Raw genomic sequence first — 14,646 nt, forward strand, 5'->3', positions numbered from 1 at the left:
TGCTCCCCTGGGTGCTTCTAGGGTTCCTCAAGCTGCTCCCCTGGGTGCTTCCAGGGTTCCTCAAGCTGCTCCCCTGGGTGTTTCTAGGGTTCCTCAAGCTGCTCCCCTGGGTGCTTCTAGGGTTCCTCAAGCTGCTCCCCTGGGTGCTGTTAGGGTTCCTCAAGCTGCTCCCCTGAGTGTTTCTAGGGTTCCTCAAGCTGCTCCCCTGGGTGCTTCTAGGGTTCCTCAAGCTGCTCCCCTGGGTGCTGTTAGGGTTCCTCAAGCTGCTCCCCTGGGTGCTTCTAGCGTTCCTCAAGCTGCTCCCCTGGGTGCTTCTAGGGTTCCTCAAGCTGCTCCCCTGGGTGCTTCTAGGGTTCCTCAAGCTGCTCCCCTGGGTGCTGTTAGGGTTCCTCAAGCTGCTCCCCTGGGTGCTTCTAGCATTCCTCAAGCTGCTTCCCTGGGTGCTTCTAGGGTTCCTCAAGCTGCTCCCCTGGGTGCTGTTAGGCTTCCTCAAGCTGCTCCCCTGGGTGCTTCTAGCGTTCCTCAAGCTGCTTCCCTGGGTGCTTCTAGGGTTCCTCAAGCTGCTCCCATGGGTGCTGTTAGGGTTCCTCATGCTATCTCCCCTTAAGTGCTGTGGCAGCAGTGCAGAGCCCACATAGCTATATAAGCTACTCAGTAAGAAAAACCACACAGGAGCTACACGCACCACATCATGGACAAACCTCAAAACACACCAGGTGGGGATGTCACTGAAAACAGCCCCAAAACTCACTCCTTCCAACACTGCATGAGTAAGCTGCAAAAACTGTCAGAATCAACTCTTCAGAACTGTGGAGTCTAATAAAAAACTTCTAACAAGCAGAGAACGCCTAATGAAAAAGCTGCTCGATTTGGGCAGGAGAGAGCTGTGGAGAGGAACTTACCTGCTCACACACCTCATCCTTGGAGACAGCAGCCCCCATTGCTGGTACAAAAGAGTGCCGCAGACTCAATTCTCAAAGAATTGGGGCTGTACATTTTGACCTATCTGGTAGGAATGTAAAATGGTGCAGCTGTTGTTGAAATACTTTGGCAATTCCTCAAAAGGTAAACACAGAACTATGATATAACACAGCAATTCCACTCCTTGGTATATGCCCAAAAAGTGTTCAAATGGAAACCTGTGCACACATGCTCACAGCACTATTGAAAACAGAAAGGTGGAAACAGGTAGGGCGTGGTGGCTCACACCTCTAATCCCAGCACTTTTGAGAGGCTGAAGCTGGCCAATCACCTGAGGTCAGGAGTTTGAGACCAGCCTGGCCAACATGCTGAAATCCTGTCTCTACTGAAAAATACAAAAAGTAGTCTGGTGTGGTGGCGTGCACCTGTAGTCCCAGCTACCCGGGAGGCTAAGGCAGGAGAATCATTTGAACCCAGGAGGCGGATGTTGCAGTGAACCGAGATTGTGCCACTATACTCCAGCCTGGGCAACAGAACAAGATTCGGTCCCAAAAAAAAAAGGGGGGGTGGAAACGGGGGCCAGGCAAGCTGGCTCATGCCTGTAATCCCAGCACTTCGGGAGGGCAAGACAGGCAGACCACTTGAGGTCAGGAGTTCGAGACCAGCCTAACCAACATGGAAAAACCCTGTCTCTACTAAAAATAGAAAATTAGCCGAGCGTGGTGGCATGTGCCAGTAATGCCAGCTACTCGGGAGGCTGAGGCAGGAGAATCACTTGAACCCGGGAGGCGGAGGTTGCAGCAAGCCGAGATCACGCCACTCCAGGCTGGGTGACAGAGCAAGACTCCGTTTCAAAAAAAAAAAAAAAAGATGGAAACAAGCCAAGTGTCAATCAAGACAGGATGGGTAAACACCCTGCCTACACCCAGACAATGCAGCATTATTCACAAGTAAACAGGAATACAGTTCCAAGACATACAACATAGATGGACTCCAAAAACACGTTATGTGAAAGAAGCCGGACACTAAAGGCCATATATTATATGAACTCATTCCTAGGAAGTCTCCAAAATAGACAGATCCACAGTGGCACAGAGTCAACAGTGGCTGAAGAGCTGCGGAGAAGTGGAGCGCTTCCTTCGGGGGGAACAGAAATATCCTGGAATAGACATAATGGTGCTAGTTGCACAAAGTTGTAAATGTGCTACAGGCCATGGAATTGTACACATTCAAATGGTCAGAGTGGTGGGGTGTTCGTTATGTGAGTCTTTTTTTTTTTTTTTTTTTTGAGACGGAGTCTCGCTCTGTCGCCCAGGCTGGAGTGCAGTGGCGCAATCTCGGCTCACTGCAAGCTCCGCCTCCCGGGTTCACGCCATTCTCCTGCCTCAGCCTCCCAAGTAGCTGGGACTACAGGCGCCCGCCACTACGCCCGGCTAATTTTTTGTATTTTTAGTAGAGACGGGGTTTCACCGTTTTAGCCGGGATGGTCTCGATCTCCTGACCTCGTGATCCGCCCGCCTCGGCCTCCCAAAGTGCTGGGATTACAGGCGTGAGCCACCGCGCCCGGCCGAGTCTTACCTCAATAAAATTAAAGTAGTATGTCAGACTCAAAAGACTACAAATTCCAGGCCAGGCGCAGTGGCTCACGCCTGTAATCTCAGCACTTTGGGAGGATGAGGTGGGCAGATCATGCGGTCAGGAGTTCAAGACCAGCCCAGTCAATATGGTAAAACCCTGTCTCTACTTGAAAATACAAAAATTAGCCAGGCGTGGTGGTGGGCACCCGTAATCCCAGCTACTCGGGAGGCTAGGGCAGAAGAATCACTTGAACCCGGGAGGCGGAGGCTGCAGTGAGCTGAGATCGCGCCACTGCACTCCAGCAAGGCTCCGTCTCAAGAAAAAAAAAAAAAAAGACTACAAATTCCATTCATATGAAATTCTAAAATAAGCAAAACTAATCCACAATAACAGAAAGTGGGCTGGCAGTGCTTGGGGCAGTGGAGGGTTCTGGTTACAAATGGGCATTCTGCGGTGATGGAAATGTCTGTGTCAAGCTGGTGCTTAATACCTGGGGTATCAAAACTGTCAAACTCATCCTACTGTACCTTCTAAAATGGCTGCTTTTATTATATAAAGTATACAGGTATAAACATCACTGAAGAAATCCAGGTACATGTGAAACACACAAGTGTGGAGCTGAATGGAGCCACGCGAACCAATACACAATCGTCAGATTCAGACCCAGACCCCAGCTGAGACGGCACCTCGCAATGACTTGCTCCCAAAGAAAGATGTTCTGGCCAGAGCCCTGGAGACCCCACACCTGGGGACTGGAGACCGCAGCCATCCACCTGCAACTCTGTTCTCAGACACCTCTGCTGTGCGGTGGCCCCAGGAAAGCAGTGACACAAAAAGAAAAAAAAAAGCTTTCTGAAACGGTGCTTTAGAGGTTTAACCAAAATAAAACTCAACCAATTTTCTTCAAAACATAAACTCCTGTTCTTGTTGTACTTTAGCACTTGCTTTACGTAATTTCATTTCTTTTTTTTTTTTGAGACGGAATCTCACTGTGTCACCCAGGTTGGAGTGCAGTGGCGCGATCTCCGCTCACTGCAAGCTCCGCCTCCCGGGTTCAGGCCATTCTCCTGCCTCAGCCTCCTGAGTAGCTGGGACTACAGGCGCCCGCCACCACGCCCGGCTAATTTTTTGTATTTTTAGTAGAGACGGGGTTTCACCATGTTAGCCAGGATGGTCTCGATCTCCTGACCTCGTGATCCGCCCATCTCGGCCTCCCAAAGTGCTGGGATTACAGGCGTGAGCCACCGTGCCCGGCCACGTAATTTCATTTCTTAGGAATAACATTTTACATTAAAGAAAATACTTTGCCACGCTTTCACTCATGATTTTGCAGTTCCACTGGAAGGCTGAACATCACTCTGGCAAGTTCAGACATGTTCCATTAATCATCTCCAAGGCTGCTTGCTACAAAGAAGCTGTTTCATTCAACAGCATCTCCTTAAACAAAATCCAAGCCTGCTTTGCCTTTGGTAACCAAAACTTGATTTAACCTCCCAAAGAGGGAGCCAGCCTGCTGCTGGCCACTGCGTGCCCTAGGCCTCAGCTTCCTGCTGCTGACTGGCTGCCTGCATCTCCTCTGCGGCCCCGGCCTCATGAAGCTGCCCACTGGTCCTGTGGTTCCTCAGGGGTCCTGGCACTGGCAAGGGGACGCAGCAAACCCACACCGTCGTGACCCTGGTCACATACACCTGTCTTCAGGAAAACTTCTCTGTGATGAAAGAACCCAGATTCACAGTGGTGAACTCTTCAAAAACTATACTAAACAAGGGAAGACTGTGCTAGATGAAATAACCATACATGCATTTATTCACATGGGAAATGGATCAGACAATGGCTGCCAATGCTAAGAATAAATTCTTGATGAGTTTCTAAGAAATCAAGACAACCTTCAAGGTTGGGCCAAGAGCATGGATGGGAAAGGCAGATGTGCATCTGGTTCTGTTTTCTGACCATAATAATGAGATCTACATGAAAGGATGTCTTGAGAGGAGGGAACAGTGGTAAGAGTGAAGCCAGCAGAGAGAGCTTGGAAAAGAGAATTCAGACCCATCTTCAAGTTAACAAAAACAATTACTGACTCATACGAAGAAATCGGGAAAGTCAATAAAACGGATGCTTCTAAACCTGTTGATGAAGTTTTTCTGAAGTTGTGAAAATTTCCAACAAAAAAGACTAACTCTAAGCCTGAAAGTATCCTTTCCTTTCTTTTTGAGCCACGACACCCGGCCTCTTACAAGTTTTTTATTTCCAACCTTAAGTGAATTTGTGGACCAAATTTCAAAACAACTTTTTGTGAATTCAGTTCCTGCATAATATGTTTGGTAAACAACTAAAAAACTGATTCCTAGTACTGTTTCAGTATTTATCAAACAACTGATCGTGTTCTATAAAAAGGTTTAAAAAAATAAAATTCAGGAACAGTGGCCCATGCTTGTAATCCCAGCACACTGGGAAGCCTAGGCAAGAGGATTTCTTGAGGCGTCTGAGACCAGCCCCATGTCTACAAACAATAAAAAAGTAGCTGGGCATGGTGGTCGTGCCTGCAGTCCCAGCTATTCAGGAGGCTGAGCCTGGAGGATCGCTTGAGCCCAGGAAGTCGAGATTGCAGTGAGCCAATTTCGTGTCACTGCACTCCATCCTGGGTGACCAAGCAAGACCCTGTATCCAAAAAAAAAGAAAAAAAAAAGGCCAGGTGCGGTGGCTCACACCTGTAATCCCAGCACTTTGAGAGGCTGAGGTAGGTGGATCATTTGAGGTCCGGAGTTTGAGACCAGCCTACCCAACATGGTGAAACTCCGTCTCTACTAAAAATACAAAAGAATTAGCTGGGCGTGGTGGTGTGCGCCTGTAATCCCAGCTACTCGGGAGGCTGAGGCAGGAGAATCATTTGAACCTGGGAGGCCGAGATTGCAGTGAGCTGAGATTGCGCCACTGCACTCCAGCCTGGGCAACAGACTAAGACACCGTCTCAAAAACAACAAGAACAAAAAACATTAAAAAATAAAATTAAAATTAAAAAATAAAAATCACATGCTTTGGTCATAAAAATAATAAGTGTATCCTATAAATGTCCTGAGGTCAGGAGTTCAAGACCAGCCTGGCCAATATGGCAAAACCCCGTCTCCACTAAAAATACAAAAAATTAGCCGGGCGTGGTGCCAGGTGCCTGTAATCCCAGCTACTCAGGAGGCTGAAGCAGGAAAATTGCTTGAACTTGGGAGGTGGGGGATGCAGTGAGCCAAGATAGTGCCATTGCACTCCAGCCTTGGTGACAGAGCGAGATTCTGTCTCAAAAACAAAACAAAACAAAAATTAAATTTGACACTGGGCACAGCAGCTCACGCATGTAATCTCAGCACTATGGAAGGTTGAAGCAGGCGGGTTGTTTGAGCCCAGGAGGTCGAGGCTATAGTGATCCACGATCACACCACTGCACTCCAGCCCGAGCAAGACAGCAAGACTCTGTCTCAAAAATAAGTAAACAAAAATTGAATTTGACCTGCAGGGGGTAGTCACAATTGAGGAATCTGAGCTGTGGGGCAAACTGTTCAAATGAAGATTCTGACCCACAGGAACAAACTGATCCAAAAGGGAAATATGCCAGTCACGAAAGGACAAATATTGTATGACCCCCCACCCCTTACAGGAGAGGTGCCTTGGACAGTGACATTCATAAGAGAAGAAAGGACAAATATCGTATGACCCCCCCCCCCAACAGGAGACGCACCTTGAGTGGTGACATTCATAACAGAAGAAAGGACAAATATCGTATGACCACCCCCCCGCAGGAGACGCACCTTGAGTGGTGACATTCATAAGAGAAGAAAGGACAAATATCGTATGACCCCCTCCCATAGGAGACGCACCTTGAGTGGTGACATTCATAAGAGAAGAAAGGACAAATATCGTATGACCCCCCCCCCCCCCTTATAGGAGAGGTGCCTTGAGTGGTGACATTCATAAGAGAAAGCAGATTGGTGGTCAGGGGTTATGGGGAGAGTCGAGGTTATGGGGAGAGGGATGAAGAGTTAGTGTTAATGGGTAGCCGGTGTCGTCTGGGAAGACCAAGTTCTGGAGAGGGATGGTGGTGATGGCTTTGCACCGTGTGAATCTAATACCAGAGAACTGCACACTCAAAAATGGTACAAATGGTCAATTTTATACTGCTGGGCTCAGGGAATCCTTCCCCTCAGCCTCCTGAGGAGCTGGGACCACAGGCACCTGCCACCACGCCTGGCTAACTTTTGTATTTTTTGTAGAAACAGGGTATCTTCATTTGCCCAGGCTGGTCTCAAACGCCTGTGCTCACGTTATCTGCTTCCCTCGGCCTCCGAAAGTGCTGAGACTACAGGCGTGAGCCACCACACCCCACTTAATAATTCCATTTTAATACCGATTTACTAAACAAGGAAAAGCTCATAGAATTACTAACTATGCCATCTTATTTAGGCTACCTAAATTCTCTGAACTTCATCTTCTAAATAAATAAGAAGAAATGTATCTTTTAACACTAATAACTATGGTCATTCCCATTAAAACATTAAGTTTTGAAAACTAGGGTTCTCATTTAAGCCTGTCTCACAGCAGCTCAGCTCTCAGAATGTTCAGAAGACTCTGACACTGCCCTCTCCCCTCCTCTGGCACTCATTTTGGAAACCTGCAGAGCATCTATTGAAAAAGCCCATCCCAGCATCTTCTTAATCACTGGTATACTTCCGTCTGTCACGAGCTTCATTTAAAAAAAGCGTCACGCTCCCTCTCCCTCCCCCTCTCCCTCTCCCCCTCTCCCTCTCCCTCTCTCCCTCTCCCTCTCCCCATGGTCTCCCTCTCCCTCTCTTTCCACGGTCTCCCTCTCATGCTGAGTCGAAGCTGGACTGTACTGCTGCCATCTCGGCTCACTGCAACCCCCCTGCCTGATTCTCCTGACTCAGCCTGCCGAGTGCCTGCGATTGCAGGCTCACGCCGCCACGCCTGACTGGTTTTGGTGGAGACGGGGTTTCGCTGTGTTGGCCAGGCCGGTCTCCAGCCCCTAACCGCAAGTGATCCGCCAGCCTCGGCCTCCCGAGGTGCCGGGATTGCAGACGGAGTCTCGTTCACTCAGTGCTCAATGGTGCCCAGGCTGGAGTGCAGTGGCATGATCTCGGCTCGCTACAACCTCCACCTCCCAGCCGCCTGCCTTGGCCTCCCAAAGTGCCGAGACTGCAACCTCTGCCCGGCCGCCACCCCGTCTGGGAAGTGAGGAGCGTCTCTGCCTGGCCGCCCATCATCTGGGATGTGAGGAGCCCCTCTGCCTGGCTGCCCAGTCTGGAAAGTGAGGAGCGTCTCCGCCCAGCCGCCATCCCACTTAGGAAGTGAGGAGCACCTCTTCCCGGCCGCCATCACATCTAGGAAGTGAGGAGCGTCTCTGCCCGGCCGCCCATCGTCTGAGATGTGGGGAGCGCCTCTGCCCCGCCGCCCCGTCTGGGATGTGAGGAGCACCTCTGCCCGGCCACCCCGTCTGACAAGTGAGAAGACCCTCTGCCCGGCAACCACCCCGTCTGAGAAGTGAGGAGCCCCTCCGCCCGGCAGCCACCCCGTCTGGGAAGTGAGGAGCGTCTCCGCCCAGCAGCCGCCCCATCCGGGAGGGAGGTGAGGGGGTCAGCCCCCCGCCCAGCTGCCCCGTCCGGGAGGGAGGTGGAGGTGGGGGGGGTCAGCCCCCCCGCCAGGCCAGCCGCCCCGTCCGGGAGGGAGGTGGGGGGGTCAGCCCCCCGCCAGGCCAGCCGCCCCATCCGGGAGGGAGGTGGGGGGGTCAGCCCCCCCGCCCGGCCAGCCGCCCCGCCCGGGAGGTGAGGGGCGCCTCTGCCCGGCCGCCCCTACTGGGAAGTGAGGAGCCCCTCTGCCCGGCCACCACCCCGTCTGGGAGGTGTGCCCAACAGCTCATTGAGAACGGGCCATGATGACAGTGGCGGTTTTGTGGAATAGAAAGCGGGGAAAGGTGGGGAAAAGATTGAGAAATCGGATGGTTGCCGTGTCTGTGTAGAAAGAAGTAGACATGGGAGACTTTTCATTTTGTTCTGTACTAAGAAAACTTCTGCCTTGGGATCCTGTTGATCTGTGACCTTGCCCCCAACCCTGTGCTCTCTGAAACATGTGCTGTGTCCACTCAGGGTTAAATGGATTAAGGGCGGTGCAAGATGTGCTTTGTTAAACAGACGGTTGAAGGCAGCATACTCGTTAAGAGTCATCACCACTCCCTAATCTCAAGTACCCAGGGACACAAACACTGCGGAAGGCCGCAGGGTCCTCTGCCTAGGAAAACCAGAGACCTTTGTTCACTTGTTTATTTGCTGACCTTCCCTCCACTATTGTCCTATGACCCTGCCAAATCCCCCTCTATGAGAAACACCCAAGAATTATCAATAAAAAATAAATAAATTAAAAAAAAAAAAAGCCTCACACTGGATAAGTGTTTTTCAATAATTTCAACGTAGTATTCCACAGCAAATTGTCTAGTTCACATTTAATTCAAAATTAATTCCCTACGTTACCACACAAGCAATAGACTGTTAAGTTTAATGCTCCCATGGCTTTCTACTTATGCAAAAAATTAACTTCTTCAAAACACCTATGGTGGAAGTTCTTCCTGTTCAGACTGCAATTCTATTTACAAAAAACAATAGTACTGTAGTACTATTAGACCACAACGCTAACGCCAGGCACAGTGGTTCACACCTGTAATCCCAACATTTTGGGAGGGTGAGGTGGGCGGATCACTTGAGGTCAGGAGTTAAAGACCAGCCTGGCCAACATGGTGAAACCCCGTCTCTACTAAAAATACAAAAATTAATCAGGCATGGTGGCGGGCGCCTGTAGTCCCAGCTACTCGGGAGGCTGAGACACGAGAATCACTTGAACCTGGGAGGTGGAGGCTGTAGCGAGCGAAGATCGCACCACTGCACTCCAGCCTGGGTGACAGAACGAGACTCCATCTCAAAAGAAAAAAAAAGATCACAATGGTGGAATCTAACCCTCTTATCTAAAATTTCTTAAAGTAACAAACATTTTGAAAAGAATAAATCTGGCAGAGCGTGGTGGCTCACGCCTGTAATCCCAGCACTTTGGGAGGCCGAGGCAGGCAGATCACGAGGTCAGGAGTTCAAGACCAGCCAGGCCAACATGGTGAAACCTCATCTCTACTAAAAATACAAAAAATTAGCTGGGCGTGGGGTCAGACACCTGTAATCCCAGCTACTCAGGAGGCTGAGGCACGAGAATCGCTTGAACCTGGGAGGTGGAGGCTGTAGTGAGCCAAGATCGCAACACTGCACTCCAGCCTGGGCGACAGAGTGAGACTCCATCTTAAAAAAAAAAAAAAAAGAAAAGAAAAGAAAAAGAAAAAAAGAAAAGAATAAATCTGTAACAGCACTGGAAAACAGAAGAATGACATGTCAATAGTTGACCAGAATTAAGCACCTAAATTAACAGAAAGTAAATGAAATCAGACAAATAACTTAAGTTTAGAGAAAACAGAGACCAAACTCTACAGAAGGAAGAAGCCGCAGAGATCAAACTCTACAGAAAGTCAGGACCACTGCAGAGGAAAAGCAAGCTTCAAGGATGAAAAACCAATAAAGCTACACAGTTCCAAGTTCATCTACTATGATTACTATGATGGGGAAACCACCTGGGGGTCAGGGGCCGAATCTGGCCCAATGTCTTTTTTAGACAGTCCACAGGCTAAGAATGAGGTTTATATTTATACCTGGTTGAAAAAGAAAATAACATTTTGTGGTAAGTGAAAATTATATGAAATTCTAATTTCAGTGTTAGTAATAGTTGTAACTGGAAAACAGCCAGGCTCGTTTTAAGTGTGGCCCCGGTTCCTTCCATGATACAACAGCAGAGCTGAAGAGCTGTCAGAGAACATGCGGCCACAAGGTCTAACTGGCCCTTGACAGAAAAACTGAGATGGAGTTAAAAAGACAAGTCTGCATATTAAAAGAGCTTCAAGATGCTAACCAATATAAAAAAGTCACAATCTAAACCCTAAAAATAGCAAAATGTCAGACTCCCACATATCAACAGAAAATCCTACAAGTTTCCACAAAATCCTAAAAAGCTTAACTAAAAAAGAATCATGAATTAGACTGGCGTTGGACTTCTCTCATCTTTACAGCAGAGGCCACGACAGAGAACAGGGGCAGCACACTCTTGCCGTGAAGAGCAGACAGTCCATCGAGGCCTTTCTGTGCCACACCGCCCGCCCGCACACATCCGCGGAAAGCCTGCTTTCAGCTGCTCAGCAGGTGGGAACACTTGCTCCTCCAGCATTCCACCATGAGACAAAGGAAAAAGTCGCTTCTGTGTGTCCACCAGCACACGACTCCCATGTACTCCTGCACGTCACGTGGACGAGCTAAAGAAGACTCCTCTGCTCCACAGCCACCATCACACTTTCTTGTTTTTGTTATTTTTTGAGACGGAGTCGGAGTCTCGCTCTGTCGCCCAGGCTGGAGTGCAGTGACACGATCTCAGCTAACTGCAAGCTCCACCTCCTGAGTTCACGCCATTCTCCTGCCTCAGCCTCCCGAGTAGCTGGGACTGCAGGCGCCCGCCACCATGCCCGGCTAATTTTTTGTATTTTTAGTAGAGATGGGGTTTCACCGTGTTAGCCAGGATGGTCTTGATCTCCTGACCTCATGATCTGCCCGCCTCGGCCTCCCAAAGTGCTGGAATTACAGGCGTGAGCCACCGCGCCTGGCCACCATCACACTTTCTAAAAGGTCAGGGTGCCAATCACAACAGGGACCAGTAAAAGGAGATTGTGTCATAAACTCAACAAGCTGCCCAGAAAAAGATGCTGGCAGAACCTGCTGCACTGGCCGTGGGCTCAGGCACACCAGGTAAACACCAGAGCGCATGCAGCCCACCCCCTACAAGCAACGAGCCCCCACCTGCTGACAGTTCAATTCTCTGAAGAAGAAATGATGATCTTATTTATCTAAAACCCAAAAGACTTAATTCTCATTTATGGGAAACATTCACAATAGGCAAATCCAGAGAGATAGAAAAGAGAGTACCAGTTGTCAGGGAAAGGGGGAAGGGGGACAAGGACTGATGACACAGGGGACCGCATGAGGATGGAAACTTGCTGGAATGTGACAGTGGTGATGGGTGCACAATATAATGAATATACTAAAAATCACTAAACTGTGAGCTGTAAATGGTAAATTTTGTATTCTGTGAACCAGATCTCGTTCATTTTTCAAAAGAAAGTCATCACCCAACGGGGTAAAATTCCTAATGCCTGGCATCCAACAAAATCACTAGGCAAAGAAGGAAAAAATACAAGCCTCAGAAAACGACGATTAGTGCTCAAAAAAACACAAATACAAACCATAATGAGGTTAAAAGAAATAAACCAACATAGAATTGAAACAGGTGTTAAAATTAGTAGACAAAGACATTAAAAGCTGTTGAACTGTATTCCACATGTTCGACATGGAAAATATAAAAAAGACAACTCGGTAGCAGCAAACAAAAGATGCAAAGAGCCAAGTGTGGGCGGCAGGGGCCCTCCCGCAACTCGGGCATGTTCGAGAGTTTTTAGAGCTCCATCTTCAGCTCCTGCTCCCTTCCCTGGAGGTCAGTGGCCGGAGATGAAAGCCCTAGCCCTCTAATAATCATCTGGTCTTCCTGGTGACCACCCCTACCCTGTCAGTTCATTAGCTTAAACTCTGGTGTGATCTGAAAGGAGCTAGTTATGAATAACAAATGACATCCTATCATATAAGAAATTCCAATGGTTGCAGGAACTCTGTGCCAGGAGTGAGAAGGCGCAGGGAGAAAAAGACCACATAATCTTTTATTGACCAAAGTTGCCAAACCCACAAGCTGCAATCAGGCCAGGAGCGGCGGCTCATGTCTATAATCCCAGAACCTGGGGAGGCCACAGCAGGTGGATCGCTTGAGCCCAGGAGTTTGAGATGGGCCAGGGCAACATGGCTAAACCCCATCTCTACAAAAAAAAAAAACAGAAAGATTAGCTGGCTGGGTATGGTGGCACGCACCTGTAGTCTCAGCTATTTGAGAGGCTGAGGTGGGAAAACTGCCTGAGCCCAGGAAGTTGAGGCTGCAGTGAGCTGTGATGGCAACACTGCACTCCAGCCTGGACCACAGAGTAAGACCTTGTCTCTAAAAAGAAACCCTGGGCTCAAGTGGCCATCCAGCCTCAGCCTCCCAAGTAGCTGGGACTACAGGCACACGCTATCACACCCAGCTAAGTTTTATTTTTATTTTTGTAGAGACGGGGTCTTGCTATGCTGCCCAGGCTGGTCTTGAGCTCCTGGTCTCAAGTGATCCCCCGCCTTGGCCTCTCAAAGTGCTGAGACTACAGGCGTTGCATCTGACCCTGTATCACTCTTCAACACGCAGGATGCACTGCACAGCTGATCCCAAATGCTGTTGTGAATCTAATCAAGATACCGTAAGACATACTGCATATGTTTTTAAAAATCAGATAAGACGACTGGGTGACTTGCTACCCACAGTGTTTTGTTTTGTTTGTTTGTTGAGACAATGTCTCGCTCTGTTGCCCGGGCTCAAGTGGAGTGGCGTGATCTCAGCTCACTGCAACCTCTGCCTCCCGGGTTCAAGTGTTTCTCTTGCCTCAGCCTCCCGAGTAGCTGGGACTACAGATGCGCACCACCATACCCAGGTAAGTTTTTTTGTATTTTTAGTAGAGACGGGGTTTGGTTATGTTGGCCAGGCTGGTCTTGAACTCCTGGCCTCAAGTGATCTGCCCACCTCGGCCTCCCAAAGTGCTGGGATTACAGGTGTGAGCCACCACGCCCAGACTGCAGTCTTTATCACTTTATGACACTGTAATCATGAACTTGGAAAGAAGGGTCTATTAACTTAGTGTTAACTTGAAAAGGAAAACCAAAGCAGAAATCTAAACAATTATTTGGATGACTACAGCAAAACTAAGAGGATTTGGGTTTAAGTTGTTGTAGTAGCTATGCCACATGGCACAGACTCTATCACCTTCTCACCCACACCTGCAACGTGAGTGCAGCTCCTCCAATCATGAGGTCGGGGGGAAAGTCTATTTTGCACCCCTTGAACCCAGTCTCACTCACCGATTTGCTGTTACCAACAGAATGAAGCAAAAGTTGGCCAGGTGCAATGGCTCACACTTGTAATCCCAGGACTTTGGGAGGCTGAGACAGGTGGATCACTTGAGGCCAGAAGTTTAAGACTGGCCTGGCCAACATGTCGAAATCCTGTCTCTACTAAAAATACAAAAATTAGCCGAGCGCGGTGGCACAGGCCTGTAATGTTAGCTACTCAGGAGGCTGAGGCTGGAGAATTGCTTGGGAACCTGGGAGGCAGAGGTTGCAGTGAGCCGAGATCGCGCCACTGCACTCCAGCCTGGGCAACAGAGTAAGACGCTATCTCAAAAAAAAAGAAGGACGAAGCAAAAGTGAAGCCATGTGGCCCCTGCTTCTGCTGCCCTACTGTTCTTGGCAGCCCCAATGGCCAGCCTGCTGGATGTTGAAACGTACAGGGCTCAGCTGACACCCTGCCAGCCAATGTATCCTACAGGAAGAATGATACACTGTCACCAAGTGGGTTTAACCCAGGAATACATGATTGGTTAAACGTTCAAAAAACAAAACCAAATGATAAATAAATGTAAAAGAAAACTATAAAATTCAATGTCCATTCCTGATACTTAGCAAACTTGTAATAGAAGGGAACTTCCTCAACCTCATAAAGTGCCTTTATGAAATCCCACAGCAAACATCATGGTTAATGGTGAAAAAGTGGACACTTTTCAATTACCATCAGAAATAAGCCTGTGTCAGAGCCTGCAGTGAGCCACCACTGCACTGCACTTCAGCTTGGGCCACAGGGCGAGGCTCTGTTTCAAAAAAAAAAAGAGGAAAAAAAAGAAATAAGCCTGTGATATCCACTCTTTTTTTTCTTTTGAGATGGAGTCTCACTCTGTCGCCCAGGCTAGAGTGCTGTAGCGCAATCTTGGCTCACTGCAACCTCTGCCTCCCAGGTTCAAGAGATTCTCCAGCCTCTGCCTCCTGAGCAGCTGGGAATAGAGGCAAACACTGCCACGTCCAGCTAATTTTTTTGCATTTCAGTAAAGATAGG

The 14,646-nt window shown here is 48.9% G+C and overlaps 1 protein-coding gene and 1 pseudogene across 4 annotated transcripts in view, besides 3 other annotated features; one reads left to right on the top strand and one right to left on the bottom strand.

Moving 5' to 3' along the window:
* Positions 1-14,646, bottom strand: part of ANKRD11 (ankyrin repeat domain containing 11) — a 222,932-nt gene that overhangs the window by 187,139 nt on the left and 21,147 nt on the right. The window lies entirely within an intron of this gene.
* Positions 3,577-4,078: an enhancer, noted in NCBI's record as "H3K4me1 hESC enhancer chr16:89524753-89525254 (GRCh37/hg19 assembly coordinates)". NCBI's record gives its function as "activates a minimal SCP1, AML or CMV promoter by ChIP-STARR-seq in primed H9 embryonic stem cells {active_cell/tissue: H9 hESC(primed)}" and the evidence as "EXISTENCE:reporter gene assay evidence [ECO:0000049][PMID:30033119]".
* On the top strand, positions 4,023-4,669 carry CMPK1P2 (CMPK1 pseudogene 2; annotated as a pseudogene).
* Positions 4,079-4,578: an enhancer, noted in NCBI's record as "H3K4me1 hESC enhancer chr16:89525255-89525754 (GRCh37/hg19 assembly coordinates)". NCBI's record gives its function as "activates a minimal SCP1, AML or CMV promoter by ChIP-STARR-seq in primed H9 embryonic stem cells {active_cell/tissue: H9 hESC(primed)}" and the evidence as "EXISTENCE:reporter gene assay evidence [ECO:0000049][PMID:30033119]".
* Positions 8,007-8,995: an enhancer, noted in NCBI's record as "NANOG-H3K27ac-H3K4me1 hESC enhancer chr16:89529183-89530171 (GRCh37/hg19 assembly coordinates)". NCBI's record gives its function as "activates a minimal SCP1, AML or CMV promoter by ChIP-STARR-seq in naive H9 embryonic stem cells {active_cell/tissue: H9 hESC(naive)}" and the evidence as "EXISTENCE:reporter gene assay evidence [ECO:0000049][PMID:30033119]".

This window comes from Homo sapiens, chromosome 16 (genome assembly GCF_000001405.40).
Source record: "Homo sapiens chromosome 16, GRCh38.p14 Primary Assembly".
In the NCBI taxonomy this organism is placed as follows: Eukaryota; Metazoa; Chordata; class Mammalia; order Primates; family Hominidae; genus Homo; species Homo sapiens.